At 50.7% G+C, this 14,379-nt stretch overlaps 1 protein-coding gene across 28 annotated transcripts in view; it reads right to left on the bottom strand.

The window, feature by feature from the left end:
- Positions 16 to 14,379, bottom strand: part of DOCK3 (dedicator of cytokinesis 3) — a 709,272-nt gene continuing 694,908 nt past the window's right edge. For 15 of the 28 annotated variants that reach the window (XM_005264914.4, XM_006713008.4, XM_006713009.4 and 12 more), the window contains 5 exons: positions 9,627 to 9,745; positions 8,379 to 8,466; positions 4,643 to 4,765; positions 4,007 to 4,089; positions 16 to 3,164 (listed from right to left, as the gene is read on the bottom strand). In XM_005264914.4, coding sequence (XP_005264971.1) covers positions 2,655 to 3,164; positions 4,007 to 4,089; positions 4,643 to 4,765; positions 8,379 to 8,466; positions 9,627 to 9,745 — 923 coding nt within the window. In that variant the 3' untranslated portion in view covers positions 16 to 2,654. The other 13 variants (NM_004947.5, XM_047447600.1, XM_047447602.1 and 10 more) reach the window with 6 other exon arrangements.

Below are 14,379 nucleotides of genomic sequence, written 5' to 3'. Positions count from 1 at the left end.
AGTGAATTCAGTGGATCAGTATCACGTATTTATCTTTAATTCACATCACAGCAGTCAAGGAAGTGGGGAAAGGGGGAAAAAAAATCAAGTGGCAGATATTTACATCTAAAATTCACATTACTTGTTGGATTTTGAACATGCTACCACAATATATACAGTAAAATACCTCTTGGGACAATGGTACAAATTTTGTTTCCTTTAACTTTGCTTTTCTGGTACAGGTAAGATCATTTTTAAATCACTTTTTTTCTTTAAACATGAATACACAAAAGAAATGGTTAGAAGTTTCCTTGTTTTAAATAAGCACAGAATGCGGGAGGTTAAAAACACATTTATAGTGCTGAATACCAATTGGACATCACACTCTATACATTTTTTGCTCAAATTCCTGTACAAATACACAGCATTCAAATAGGTATTTACAAATAAGCTTGAAAGAATGAAAATCAGTATTTTACAATCTTTTCAAAGGGTTCTCATCTCTGGCCTCCCATTTCCCCTCAGACTGACTTATTCTCCAACAAAAGGGATTTCAGAATGTGTCCTTTTCATTTAGTTAGGGAAAATGGAGAGGGAAAACAAACGGTTTCACCTTGCATAATGCGAAGCCAAATGAACCCATACTCCCCTCCCTACCTCTTGTGCCACCAAGTGGAGAAGGTAGCTGTTCTTATGTGATGACTGCCTTGTCCAGGGATTGACTTTCAGAAGTGCCTTAAAATCTAAGCCCTCCTACCTATGAATCAAATCCAAAACTAGCCCCTAACCCCTAACCCTCTAACACCTGTGAACACCAGATGGTCCAGAGATTGAAGCTTGCAAATGAATGTAGGCTGAGAAGCAGGCCAGCCCTTTGAGGTGAGGGCTGCTGTAACTGACCCATATCCTCAGCAGCCTTCCGCCCCACTCTGCCTGGAGTGAACCTGGTGGTATCAGAAGGGACCCACACTGGTGATAAACCCCCAGAAAAACCCTGGAGGTAATTTAGACCTCCATCTTTCCCAGTAGGTTATTAGCATTTCTGTTAAACAAGCTGGGGTTTGTTTACAAGAGAAAAACACACTGACCATGGCCTTTACTGTCTGGAAAGAGGGGCAGTGGAGAAGGGACAAGGGGCTTGGGCCCAGGGCCTGGCTGTGGAGGTCATACAGGCCAGCAGAAGAGGAACTGGGGGCAATACGCCTGCCCAACAAGGCAGCCTTGTGACCATCATTAATGTGAACTCGAGCAAATAAAAGAAAAAAAATATTTTGTAGGCTTTTTTTAAAGTAACTTAAAAGCACCCTGGTAAAGTACTACTATACCCACCTGACCCTATCCCCCCAAATAATAAACTGAGAGGAAAATCAGTGCCCTGACTTGAATGAGTTTCCTCTAAAGACACCACTGCTCTGCTTTATAGTTTCCTATAAAGACACCAACAGACTGGGGAGACTGGAGAAACTACCCTCCTGCCAGCCCCGAACCCTGAGTGGTGGTCCCCATGGCCTGGAGTGGGTTGCTGTATGTGGCCACTTGGGAGATGACAATTCTACCTGCATGGCTATCTGCTTCCAAAAGGAGAAGCCCCCTCCCACCCTCTTTACCCAGGAGCCTGCTGAACCTGACCACATGTCCTCAGGGCCTGGAAGCCTGGCTGGGCAGCCAACCCCATGGCTCAGAGGTAGTGCTGAAAATCCCTGATTCAGGAGCTGATGGTAGGCATTCTGGATGCTTCTGAAAGCTTTGAGGATTTCCGGCGCCTGCCACACCCCACACTCTTACACCAGTCTCTCTACCACATAGGAAGGGGACCAGCTCCCCCTAGGAGGAAGGTAGCTAGGATAGCCTCTCTGGCTCCATACCTCCACTCAAACCCCAGAGGGCGGGAGATAACCCTTGCAGATCCAGTCACCACTGGGGCTCCTGTGGGGCATGAGGTGTTTCAAGAATGGAAGGGAGCAAATGGTCAGAAATGATGTGATGGAGAGAAAAATCCAAGGTGGAGTAGGAGACGGCTGGCCCATTGAACCCTGGCAGTGCCCTGGGCATGCAGTTAGGCCAGTCACATGCCTGAGCCAGCAGGTTGGTCCAGCCAGCCCCTCAGTAGCACACTCCTGGATGGAAGAGGGGCAGGTGGGCAGGCATTTGTGCAAAACGGCTTGTGGCCCTTTTTCCACCTGTGACATGTCTATATGGTCCTTGCAATCCCTGAATGCAACCATGAACTCTTCTGTCCATACAGCAAAGGAAGAGGTCCTTAGTGCAATTTCCATTCGGTGCATCTCTACCCTGGAGGGAGGGCCTGGGCTCCCACTCCTGGGCCCTGCAGTGTGGCAAAGTGATTCTGTCTGTGCAATTTCTCCATGTAGCTCCACATGGTCCAGAACTGCAGGAGGAAGAAAGCATCTACTGCATAAAGGAAAGAAAGGAAAACCCATAGAAATGGAAATGTAAAAAAATAAAAAGGGAAGCCACAACCCTTCATGCTGCTGTGGCCTCTGTACATGGCAACACATGAGTTCACGGCAGTAGAACGGAGACTTGGGGGTGGTTCTCTCCTGAGTGCAAGCCTCTCTGGCTCCCTGGGGTGGGGCTGGGGGACTTGCTTTTCAGACCTGGAGTGATTGGCAAGCTGCTTACTGAGGGCGGCATCCCAGCCGCCTCGTTGCCCCTCACTGCTCCCCTCGGCCGTGCTCCCAGGCCATGCGGGCCTGCTCCTCCTTAGCGCTCCCAGGAGGCAATGGAGCCTTGCGGTGCAGGCCTCGAGGCCTCTCAGTCTCTTCACGCAGCAGCACCCCCTCATCGTGCTCCAGGGCCGGCAGGCGGGGGTGGTAGGGCTTGGGCGGCAGCGCAGGCGGGTCCATGGGGTCCTGAGGGATGACGCACCCTGGGGCTGAGTGGCTTCGGCATGGCTGGGCCTTGATGGAGTCCAGGACGGCAGACTCAGAGAGGCTGTAGTGGACAGGGAGGTAGGGTGGCTCAAGATCTTCGTCAGCATTCCAGGCCTGACTTGGCATGGAGTCCATGGTGTCAGTGCGAGGTGGGGCCTCCGAGGAGTGCCCAAAGTTACTCTCACTCAAGGAGGACACGCCGCTGCTGGCACTGCCGGACAGCGTAGAGTTGCTGCCGTCCAGACCTGACTGGGGGCTTGTGGGGGAGGCTGGGATAGGGTGGAGAGGAGACTGCGAAGGAAAGGGTGGGCATGTTAGAATCCCTCTCTCCAGACAGGCTGACTTGCCCGCCATAGGAAGACCAAGAGCCTGCTTATGAATGAACTTTAACCCTCATCAACAGCATGTTTCTTGTTTCTTCAGCAGCAAGCTCCCAGCTCCTCCCACCACCCCTAAGCCAGTGGAACTCCAGAATCATCTGCATTTCTGTGGCCAAAAAATTGCCCTGCCCTGGCTGCTGGGCATTGGTGCCCCCTGGTCCCAGGTCCCAGGCTGCCGTCGGTGGCTCTGGGATACTGACATAAAGGCTGGGTCATCAGGCCTGTTGAGGAGGGGCAGAAAGAACCCTGGTGGGCCGTGGACCAGAGGAATGTATTCTGCTGCTAAAATCTGTGATAGACTCAGTCTTTTCCAATTTGCAGACAAGCTAACAGGTAGGAAATTTTACTCTCCTGAGTTTTTCATAAAGTTCTTGCTTTTACTGAATTCTAGTTTGAAATGCTCTCTGATCCACCACAGGAACATTTGTTTAGCTAGCGAACTACAGTGTGTTGATACCTTGGTGCTGGCTGAGAGCCCCCAGGTTTCCCAGTGCTCACTGCCCACACACTCTTGGTACTGTGTGTTGTTGTCTCCAGGACCCTCTGATCTCCCTGCCCCCATCACATTTGCTGCAGGACACAAATGTGCACCTGCAGCTCAAGTGTGGCTCTGGCCACCCCCAGCTTCTGCCAGGCTGGGGAGAGAGGTGAAGGGGAGGGCTCCAGTTCCTCCTGTAGACCCCAAGGGTGGTTCTAGAGCAGACGAGATGACTCATCTCACAGCCTGGTGGGGCTGCCGCTTCAGTACATTACCTTGCGCAGGGTCCGGGCAGGGAGGGCTGGGGGGGTATCACCCAGAGGGTGGTGGAAGGCGTCAAAGTGTAGGGAGTAATGACCTGCAAAGGGAACAGAACCAGAGCCTCAGCTGGGGGCCCTGCACAGACTTCATGCCAGCACCATCTTGCTGGGCCAACTGGGCAGGCATGAGAAGAGTCCCCTGGGGACCCCTCAGCATTGAGGGCTATGGATAAACCTCTCTTTACACTGGCCTTCTCCAAAACACAGGCTGCTGGGGTAAAAGAAACTCACTCCACACAGGAAGTCAGAGAAGTTGAGTGCTTCAGAGTCTGTGGAACAGGCCTCAGGCAGCGGCAGCTCTAGCCCACTGCTAGGCGATGAGACAGTCTGGTGAGAAGTGTGCCTGGCACAGTCAATTCCATTGTCTTCAGCCTTCTGGTTGGGATGGCCTTCCTGAGCTAACCTGCTGTACTCGGAAACCTCACTGACCCCAAAGCCCAGCAGGATCCTTCCTGTGGTGGGGGTGTTTTGGCTTTGGCTGAGTCGGCCCAGAGAATGGCCCATCTTCTCAGCTTAGATGGCTGTTGCTGTGGCCCTTGAGCAGAGTCTGAGACCAGGGACTATCGGGGGACCCGCTGGAGGTCTTCTTACCATGCAGCAGGCTTCGGGGAGGCACTGGGGGGGCCAGGATGCGCCCCATATGGGCAGACAGGAAGGGCTGGGCCTCTTGGGCTCCGCTATCCAGACTCCAGCTGCTGGGGGCTGCTGGCACAGCTGAAGGGTGGAAACAGATGGCATGAAGGGAGGTTACTTCTTGAGCCACCCTCTGGGAGAAGTACAGCTTGTGGCTTCTCCAGTGTGCACCACGTATCCAGCACACATGTGGGGCATGCCAGCACCTGGAACTAAAAACGCTGGCCAAGCAAGGCACTGTGGTCCACAGGGGAGAGTGGCCAGGGATTGAAGCTGCTTAAGAGGAGGGCAACAGAGTGAGTTTATGTCTAAAGAGTATTCAGGATGAGATAGCTGAATGTGCAGCAAGGAGTGAACGCCTGCAGCCTCTGGGATCTGCCAGGAGGAGAAGAGAAAACAGGACAGAAGAGTAGAGATGAGAATGAGAGAATATAGAGAGAGCACAGGACATAGAGCTCCTTGCCAAAGTCTAGAGTCAGCTCTCCTACTGCCCAGGCTCAGTGGGAAAAGCAGGGAGCAAGGACAGGTACCTGTTGGAAGAAACTGCAGCCCAGATCCAGCTGGACCCACTGCTTCCTAACAGGAGGAGGGAGGGCTGTGGAGCCGATGAGTACCCTTTGGCGTCTACAGAACCCCAGTTCCTAGCACCCACATGCCATGGATGCAGGGGTGCAGTGGGCCCAGGAAAAAGGGAAGCACAGAGTGCCCTTCTGTGTTAAAGAAGGAGTCCACTGCCAGAATACTGTCCCCTCAGCCACAGTTGGGATGACAGACTTTTCAGGAGGAGAGAGGAATGATGGCTGGACCTTGGGGTCTGAGGGTGCCACTCTGCAGAAGCAGCAGTGGACATGTGAATTCTTTTGGCCAGCTCCTCCTAGAGAACAAATACCAGCAAAAAGAAATATGTCCTTTCTCTGTTGGAGCCAGGCAACTCTCCCCTTTGGGCTATTAGCAGCAGAGAAGCGGCTCACAATCCAGGTGCTGTCACTGGATTTGTTCTAAGGCCGTGGTAGCTACATTGAGCCTGAGGTGGCTGAGGTTTGGTTTCTTCCTGGCCTAGACACAGAGATGGGAATTTCAGGGCCTAATGGGAGCTGACAGGCTTTGGAAGGGAAGGAGCTAGAGTCTGTCCTTTGAAAAGGATGTGGCCAGAGGGGCTGGGCCCCCTCAGCTGTCCAGGGATAAGACTGTGACATCCATCATCCTCTTCTTCCTCATTGCGCAGGAACTGGCGTGAGCTTGCAGCAGAACGCAGGGTAAAACTCCACTGTCTAAACAGCCTCAGTTCTGAGAATTGCCCCGTCTCCTGGTATGGTTGATAGCTGGCGGCAGGAAGGAGGGGTGTGCCAGTGATTGAGTTGCAGGCAAGACACTTAGCTGTTGCCTGAAAGGAGGAAAGAATTCTGCATCTGATGAGCATCAGGTGGATTTCACCAAATAGCCTCCTTAGAGAGCCTGAGCCATCCCAAGAACAGGCCCACTCACCCATGCTCCCTACAAGATGCAGCATGAGCTTCTTGGTGTTGAGGCTCCCTGTACCTTCCCCTCTCTGCCAAAAAAATCACCTTCTCCATAAAAAGCCACCAAAGAAATATCAGGGAATAGGAAGCTTAGAAATGGGTCTGGGCGGCTTCCCTAAAGGGGTTCTGACAGCCCAGGATCTCAGATGCACACCTAGCCCTGGAAGAATTATGGGGTGCAGATGTTCACCCACAAGGGCTCAAAGGAGCTCTAGGGCAGGAAGGCTATGGGAGAAGAAGGCTTACAGGGCTTTAATGGTTTACAAAAGGGTGCCTGCCTGAGTGACTCCATATAAACCAGAAGCCATCAAGTTTGCCCTGCAGCCTGATGTCTGTGAGCAGTGGGGCCAGTAGACCTTTGCCATGTAGCATAAATGCACTGGGGCTAGAGGGAAGGCTAATACAGAATGACTTATCCTAGGAAAAGAAGGGTGATCCCAACTGTATCCTGTCGCCTCCCTCCCTCACCATTAACAACTGTCCAGCACTGGCCTGAGGCCGCCAGTGCATAGCCCATGGTCCTGAAGGCAGGCTCACCTGATCTGGGAGTCACTGCACGGCAAAAAGAGATACCTGTAAGTGAGAGATGTAGTCCTCATGGGACTCAGAACCCTGACAGACAAGAGAATGATGACAAGTATGTATAGTTCCTGCCCTGGAGGATCCAGGTAGAGACTTAGGGAGCTACGCTCTGGCCTGTGTGTTGCCACTGGGCAAATGTCTGATTAGCTGCCTTCTAAATGCTGGCCTTGTGGTACGGATATGCTTGCTCTGGGCTCAGCCTCTGTTCTGAGACAACCCTCCTTTCCTTCCACACCTAGGGGTGGGCATGTCCAGCTCCTTGATGTAGTCGTAGTCTGGCCTTGGCCTGAGGCCTGAAGCGCTAATGTGTCTGGTTGGGGTAGGGTCCTGGTCTGGCCACCAGCACCTGTTTGAGCTCTAAGCCTGTCTAGACTCTTGGCTACTTCTGACGTTGCTCTGCATCTCAGCTGAAGAAATGCCACTGTGGATTCTGGCCCTCCAGGCGAAAAGGGCACTCTGTTTTGGGTCACAGGTGCAGAAGTCCAAGAAGCTGCATGTTTTCGGGATATACGACCTTGAAGCTATGAAGGCATCTTCAGCCAGTCTCCAGGCCCTTTGTGGTGGGGCACCCAGCTTCAGTGCCCATCAGTGTTTTGTCTCTTTAAAGAGGACACAGAGGTATGTCCTCCATGATGAGCAAAGGCGGAGCATAACAGTGGGGACAGCACATAGCACTCGATGAACAGATACGATGATAACGTGATGATGACAGCTTTGGAGGGACATGTTCTGATGGAATAGGGGATGACAGGTTGTATTGGTGGGAACTGAGTGTGCCCTAAACTCCAATAGATGGAGCAGCTAGGCAGAGAACCTGTGAGGAGAGGGGCGGATATGAGGCCAGGTTCTGGGTGGCAGGAAGGCTCAGCACTTAGTATTACTCTCTGTTAAAATTAACTCAGATCTCCGTGTCTGAGGTCTGAGTCTGCTTCTTCCATCGGCTTGCAGAAGCAGAACACAGGGTAAAATGCCCACTCTCTAAACAGCCACAGGTCTAAGGAGGATTGCTCAGTCTCACAGTATGGTTGGTGGCCTTGCAATAAAAGATGGATTCACAGCAGCTGCTGGCCAGAGTGGCTACAGAAGGACCGGACTCCTTTGGGGCACCCTGGGCTTCACTTGGAGAAGCCTGTCTTTGGGAAATAGCATGTCTTTCCCCTTCCTCTTGGGGCTTGTTTGGCCACGGCCTGTTCTGAGCTCCAAGGAAAGATCCCTGAGGGCCCAAGCTGAGAGGGACCAAAGGGGCCACAAGGCCTGCTGAATTCTGGGGGTGGCTGGGAGGAGTCTAGGGAAGTAGTTTTCTACAGTTTGCACACAGAAGCCCAAGTTTCCATAAAGGTGGGCTCAGGGCAGGAGGCAGTTGGGACCTCTGAGGGTAGGCCCTGAGGAAGGAGGGATACAGGATATAAACCTTAGCATCAAGTCAGACATGGGTTAAATAGTGAGCACAAGAACTGGTCAGAATTCTGGACAGACGGACAGACCTGAGTGTTGAAGTATGGCTTAGCCCTGGCCAGCTGGTACTCAGGGACAAGAGTCAGACACTCAGGATGGGGACAGACATGGGGGGAAGGCCACCTGGGCAACAATACCTTTTTCAGCCACAGACAGATTGGGATCACTGCAGGGTTTGCAGGCTCCGACCACTTGCTGGAACAGGGCTCGCTGGAAATTCGGCGGCTGAAGGAAGGAGATAAACATTACAGAGAGTGAAAACAACCAATTATATCTTGGGAGGCAGTGTTGTGGGCGACGAGAGACAGGACACTACAAGATCAGACGGGGAAAACAAAGCAGTGGCACAGCTCACACTTGAGATATACTGAGACCCCCAGGCCAGCCCTAGGAAAGACTGTCCAGGGTGTCTGGTTCTCAGTGCTTCTATACACAATATTTGCAATACCATCCTCCAGTATCTGGCTAGGACCCAGCTGTCTTATGTAGGGCCCAAGAAACAGAACATAGCTACCTGGGAGCATCTGTTTGCATCCTTTTGTCTGGCTAGAGAGATCCCCACTTCCCCATGAGCACTGACAGGTTTAGCCTCCTGGAGAGGCCCTGCACAGGCCCATGCTAGCACTGAAGGCAGAGGAAAGGACAGTATCAAGCCTAGAGTCACAGACAGGACTTGCTGTTTTAATGGGCAGCTGCCAAGCAGATCTCATCCCTCTACCTGGCAGAGCCAATCAGGCACAGGGAGGTACCACTAAGAAACTCCTGGCATTCTGAGGCTAGGTAATGGTCACTGAGAGGTGACTTTTATGGACCCTGATAGAAGGGCAGGGACAGACTGCCCAAGGGAGGGAGTTAATCCCTACAGCTTCTTGTTCAAGGTCCCCAGGCAGAGCATTTGGAGAGCTGTGCAAATGGCATGTAGAACAGCCCCAGCAGGTAGTGAGGGACTTCAGTTGGATGGATGAATAAAAGAGGCAGAGTTTGTTCCAGTGAGGATGCCCCACAAATAGGGAGGAAGAACATCTTCCAGACCAATGTGTCCACCACTGCCTTCTCAGAACAGGCTGCAAAGAACCAATTACCTTTGCTAGACTGTTTAGGGATGACGAGTCCAGGATCTGGCGGGAAGGACAGATAGCTACATGAGCAATGCTGGTTCCAATGGTGGTTCCTGCCACCATTCTACTCACGCCTACACTCTGTCTGGATTGCTGGTCCTCAGGTTCACTGCACTCCACATCCAGAAGCCCAGCGGCCTTTTGCGGGATCTTACAGCGGAATGAGAGAGCCATGTAGGACAATGCAGAAGGCCCCGCAAATGCAAGGAGGGAAGCACAGGCTAACACACTTGCAGCAGAGGACAGTCAGTGTGGTGGGTCTATTACCTGTCCGTTCTCCAGGATGGCTGCTGGATACATGGCACTGCTTGGGCGGTCCCGGTATGTGGGCAGCAACAACATCATTTCACGGGCATGGCGGTACTTATCTGGCAGAGAGGGAGAGCCTGTAACCAAGTGAGAACAATCAAGCACAGATGACAAGCCACAGATGGAGGGTCCAGCAGTCAAGCATCCTCAGGACTAGGGAACCAGGGTAGGTGTCCCTTACAGTTAGGGTGAGGATGAACTCAGCAAGCACAGGAGGAATGAAGCAGAGTCTGGTTGTTAGATGGTGGCAGTGGCTGCACCTCATGTCCCAGCCAAGGCTGACATACAGCAGGCTGGTGAGATGCAGATCCGCTGACAGAGTCCCCACCATGCTCAGAAGCAGAGGGTGAGGAGAGTTAAGAACTGGAGCAGGGTGGCTAGGGGCTCCCTGCATCAAGCACTATCAGGAAATGGGTGTGGCCTGTATGCTGGGCTCTCCTGGGGTCCAGGCATGGGAACAGGCCAGCTTGCAATGGAGACACTCACACAGAGACAGAGACACTCAGATAACATAGCCACACTGTTATTACTTGACATACTGTGTCTTTACGCACTTACCTTCTCCTGACACCACTGGCCCTGTTCTCACCTGGCTCCCTACCGACTTTTCTCAGAGGCTTCTCCCTTCCAGATTCTAGGTCCCAGCACCTGGCCTCTGCCTTCCTGCCAGTCCTACTGCAGCCCTAGAGCCAGGCTGGCTGGGGGCCAGGGCTCTGCACACAGGTTGCTCTCCGGGGTTTTGCTCTGTGACACTTGCCCTTCCGTGAACTCAGGGTTCATGGAACTAATGTGGAAATTATGGGGCTTTAACTCAGGCTCTTTAGTTGACTTGATTCATGTTCTACTCCTGTGAGGCCTCTGCAGTGATTTCCCCTAGTCTGAGGGACTGTTATGGAGGCCACACCATGCCACATGTGGTGTGACTCTGTCCCCATGGATTCAGACCATAGCCGTAGGTCCAGGAACTTGTCAACCCATGGTCCTTAAGAAGATCTTCCACAGAAGCAATAAGAGTAACTTGCTGGCTTTCCTGGGGGAATGGGTAATTTGGAAGGCCCTCCAAATGTGCTCATTGTACCAGATACCAGCATATCCATGAGAAACCACTGGGGGAATCGGAGCCCTCACAGGAGGATCACCTGGATCTCAAGCCTCTGCCTGGCTCTATTGGTTGAAACCCCTCTCTGGGGTGTCCTCTGAGTGAAGTTGGGTAGTTTAGACCAACCCATGGGCTCCAGCTGAATCTGCAGCTGGGGTCAATCTGCAGCTCCTAGAGGCTCTGTGTCTCTGGAACTCAGGGTCTCTGGGGCTTTCCTTTGAGTGTGCAGTGCCAGCACTGTCAGGACACAGCTAAAAATACGTCTTCTTCAGCCAGCTTGCCAAAGGAGTCCTTGAGAAATTCCTCTTGTATTCATTTCAGTCCAAGAAGATGAGGCTAAAATACTTTGAAGAAGTCAGCGTAATAAATACCAGTAATGTAACTTTTTCCACAGTTGGTCTGAGTGATCCTGTTTGTAGAACCTCAGGGCTGGCTTTAAGACCCAGTCATTAAAAAATGTCCTTTCACTTGTAAGAGAATGACTAAAATATGATTTTTAAAACTCGACCTGAATTGCTATTTTGTGATTTTACTGGTTTCTATGTTCTCTTTTAGAACCTGTACTCTTAGGCAACCTCAAGAAGATGGCTATGTAAAGAGAAATGAAAAAAGCACCTATTCTCACTGACCAATATAGTGCTTTCCCAGCAAGAAACTCTCAGAATGCTTCCTGAGCATTGCAGCCCACAGCTCTAGACAGGACTACTCTCTGTTCAGTATGCACCGGAAAACACACAGCACCTTTAGACCAACTCAGTAACATCAAACCCATATCTAATGCCCATTCCACACCAAGCATGTGATTGGAACCTGGTATACTGTCTTGCTCAGGTTGTCCGTGGTCTCTCACCTCGTGGAGCTCACAGCCTGGCTCATAAAGAAAACCCCACATCTGCATACTCAATATCCTGATCCGTGTGAGGGGGTTAGGATGGAGATATAGCAGCCTGAAGGCTGTAGCCAGGGCTCAGGGGCTCTGCTGAAGATTCAGACTCATGTTATGGTGGTCTCTCTGGGCTATGGTGGCCACAAAGGGGTGCTCTGTGCCACCACTAAAATTTTTAACTCTACCACTTCACTTCCCTCCCCCTGCCCTCTGCCCTGGGCAGCCAATCCCATGGTAGGAGAAGGTGATGGTTACTTTTCATGAAAACATTTGAACAACACAAGGGTTTCTGTGTTCATGGGACTTCTGAATTATGTGAGTTGTAGTCTAGTAAACCCCAGTGTCAACGAATTACTTAAGGATTATTCAAAATCCCTGTTTCCTAGCTCCAATCAGCCTTTTGATCAGCAGGGGGAGCTGTCAACTCACAAGAGTTTAGGTGAAAAAAGCACCTATTCTCATTGACCGATACAGTGCTTTCCCAGCAAGAAACTCTCAGAATGCTTCCTGAGCATTGCAGCCCACAGCTCTAGACAGGACTACTCTCTGTTCAGTATGCACCGAAAAACACACAGCACCTTTAGACCAACTCAGTAACATCAAACCCATATCTAATGCCCATTCCACACCAAGCATGTGATTGGAACCTTGTATACTGTCTTGCTCAGGTTGTCCGTGGTCTCTCACCTCATGGAGCTCACAGCCTGGCTCATAAAGAAAACCCCACATCTGCATACTCAATATCCTGATCCGTGTGAGGGGCCTTGCAGGCCATTCCTCTCAGACATTTCCAAAGCAACAGGAATCACAGCAGTGTCCATGGGTATGGCAAGGAAGACCACTGGTCTCATGACCACTCTTGGGAGTGGGGGAAGTAACCCCAATGCAAAGGCTTCCCTCAAGATCACCTTTACGAAAGCTTTCCCCTCCCTGGTAATACCAAACACAAACTTCAAACAGAGTGGACTGTTTCCTCCCTTCTTTGCCCAGAGTGTATCTACTACAACATCTATTACATACATTTGAAAGTATCAGTCTTTCTCTATGATGCCATGTCACACAGACCCTTCTATTTTGTCTCCCAGGGCCTAACACTGTGCTTGATAGATGTAGGACCTGCACCTTTCTCCAGATGAGCCTGCACATGGATGGTATGGAAGTTGTGGTCTAGAAGGGACTTGCTTTCTTTCTTACTGCCTCTGATCTTGTCACTGTTCTCTTTGGGCCCAGTTCTGTTTAACCATTTTGTTTATTTTTGCACTTAATGTTTACCCCCAAAAGGGAAGGGGCTTCTCTCAGCCTTCCTCTGTGTGATATTCTGGAGTTTGGCCATTGTGACAGCTCATCTCCAAAAATGGTGACCATCAACACCTTCTGTCCCAAAACACACACACCATTCCTTACAACATGAGGTGTAATCTCATTCCTCTTTCTGGTATCTGGGTTGACATTAGTGACTTGAGGAGACTAGAAACGTGGGGACTTCCTGGGACATCCAAGGCTGGGTAAAAACGAGCCTTGAGGCTTCTTCCTGGGTCTCTTGGAATGCTTTCTCTGGGGAAAATCAGCTGCCATGCTGTGAGAAGCCTAAGTCACATGGAAAGGTCATATGTAGGAGCTCAAGTTGACAGCCCCAGTCGCACCCCAAGCTGACCACCAGCATCAATTGCCAGCCATGTATGTGAGCCATCTCGAATATCTAGCCCACCTGAGCTTTTAGATGATTCCAGCCAGTGACATCTGACACCAAGTGAGAATTGCTCAGTGAGCCCTGTAAACCCACAGAATAAGAGATGATAATAGATTGTTTTAAGAAGTTTTGGGGGTGGCTTATTATGCAGCAACAGATAACCAAGCCATTTGAAGTAAAAATGAGTTATTTCCAGACAAGAAGATAATTTCTCTCTATTCAGCACTGACATAGTGCACCACCTGCCCCCGTGGCAAGAGCCATGCAGGTTCCTCACTGAGCATTCAGTAAAAGCTTGATAAGTGAATAAATCAGTCAACGGCTGGAAGGAAAAGGTGGTAACCGCCAGCCTGTGAGGTCCCCAAGAGCAGGGCCTGCTTATTCCTCCTCTTTCTTCTTTTCAGGACACTAAGTATCTGGAACAGCCTAGAGGAAGTGTCTGACCAATGTCAGAGTGCATTTGAGTTCAAATGTCCATCCTTGGTTGCCTTCTGTGTTTATCAATCATCATGATTCAGAGATCTGTCCTCAGCAAGAATACCAGATAAAGTCTTAGATATGTCAGAACATATCTTAGAGACGCTTTAGGTTAGGGAAAAAAACAAAACCAGAAGGGATTACAGAAACTGTTTCTGCAGCTCTATTCAGGACTATTTACCTGAAGACACTATAAATGCCAACCTTGACTGTGGCACTCATGGCTCAGGGTTTCTTTTCTTTTTATTCCCAAGGCCGTCTTTCAGTGTGCCTTCTTGATAACACATATCACTGCTCCTTCTCTATGTCTGCAGCTTTCACATACTGACAAATCTTCAGCATGCACCGATCTTTTGGTTCATTTGTCCTATTTAGTACTAGAAATGTCTGCTTTCAAATGCTGGCTCCCCTTTTCTGACCTCAGAGTCCATGCTAGGGAGGCAATATGGGCAGTGGAATGGGCATGAGAGTGAGGGCTGGTGAGTGTAAAGATCTGTGCCCCAAACTTAGCTTGGCTGTGAACTGGCTAGGTGGCCTTAATTCCCTTGCCCTGGAAATG

This window comes from Homo sapiens, chromosome 3 (genome assembly GCF_000001405.40).
Source record: "Homo sapiens chromosome 3, GRCh38.p14 Primary Assembly".
In the NCBI taxonomy this organism is placed as follows: domain Eukaryota; kingdom Metazoa; phylum Chordata; class Mammalia; order Primates; family Hominidae; genus Homo; species Homo sapiens.
Note: the sequence above shows the minus strand (reverse complement) of the source record. Positions and strands in the feature narration are given on the sequence as shown.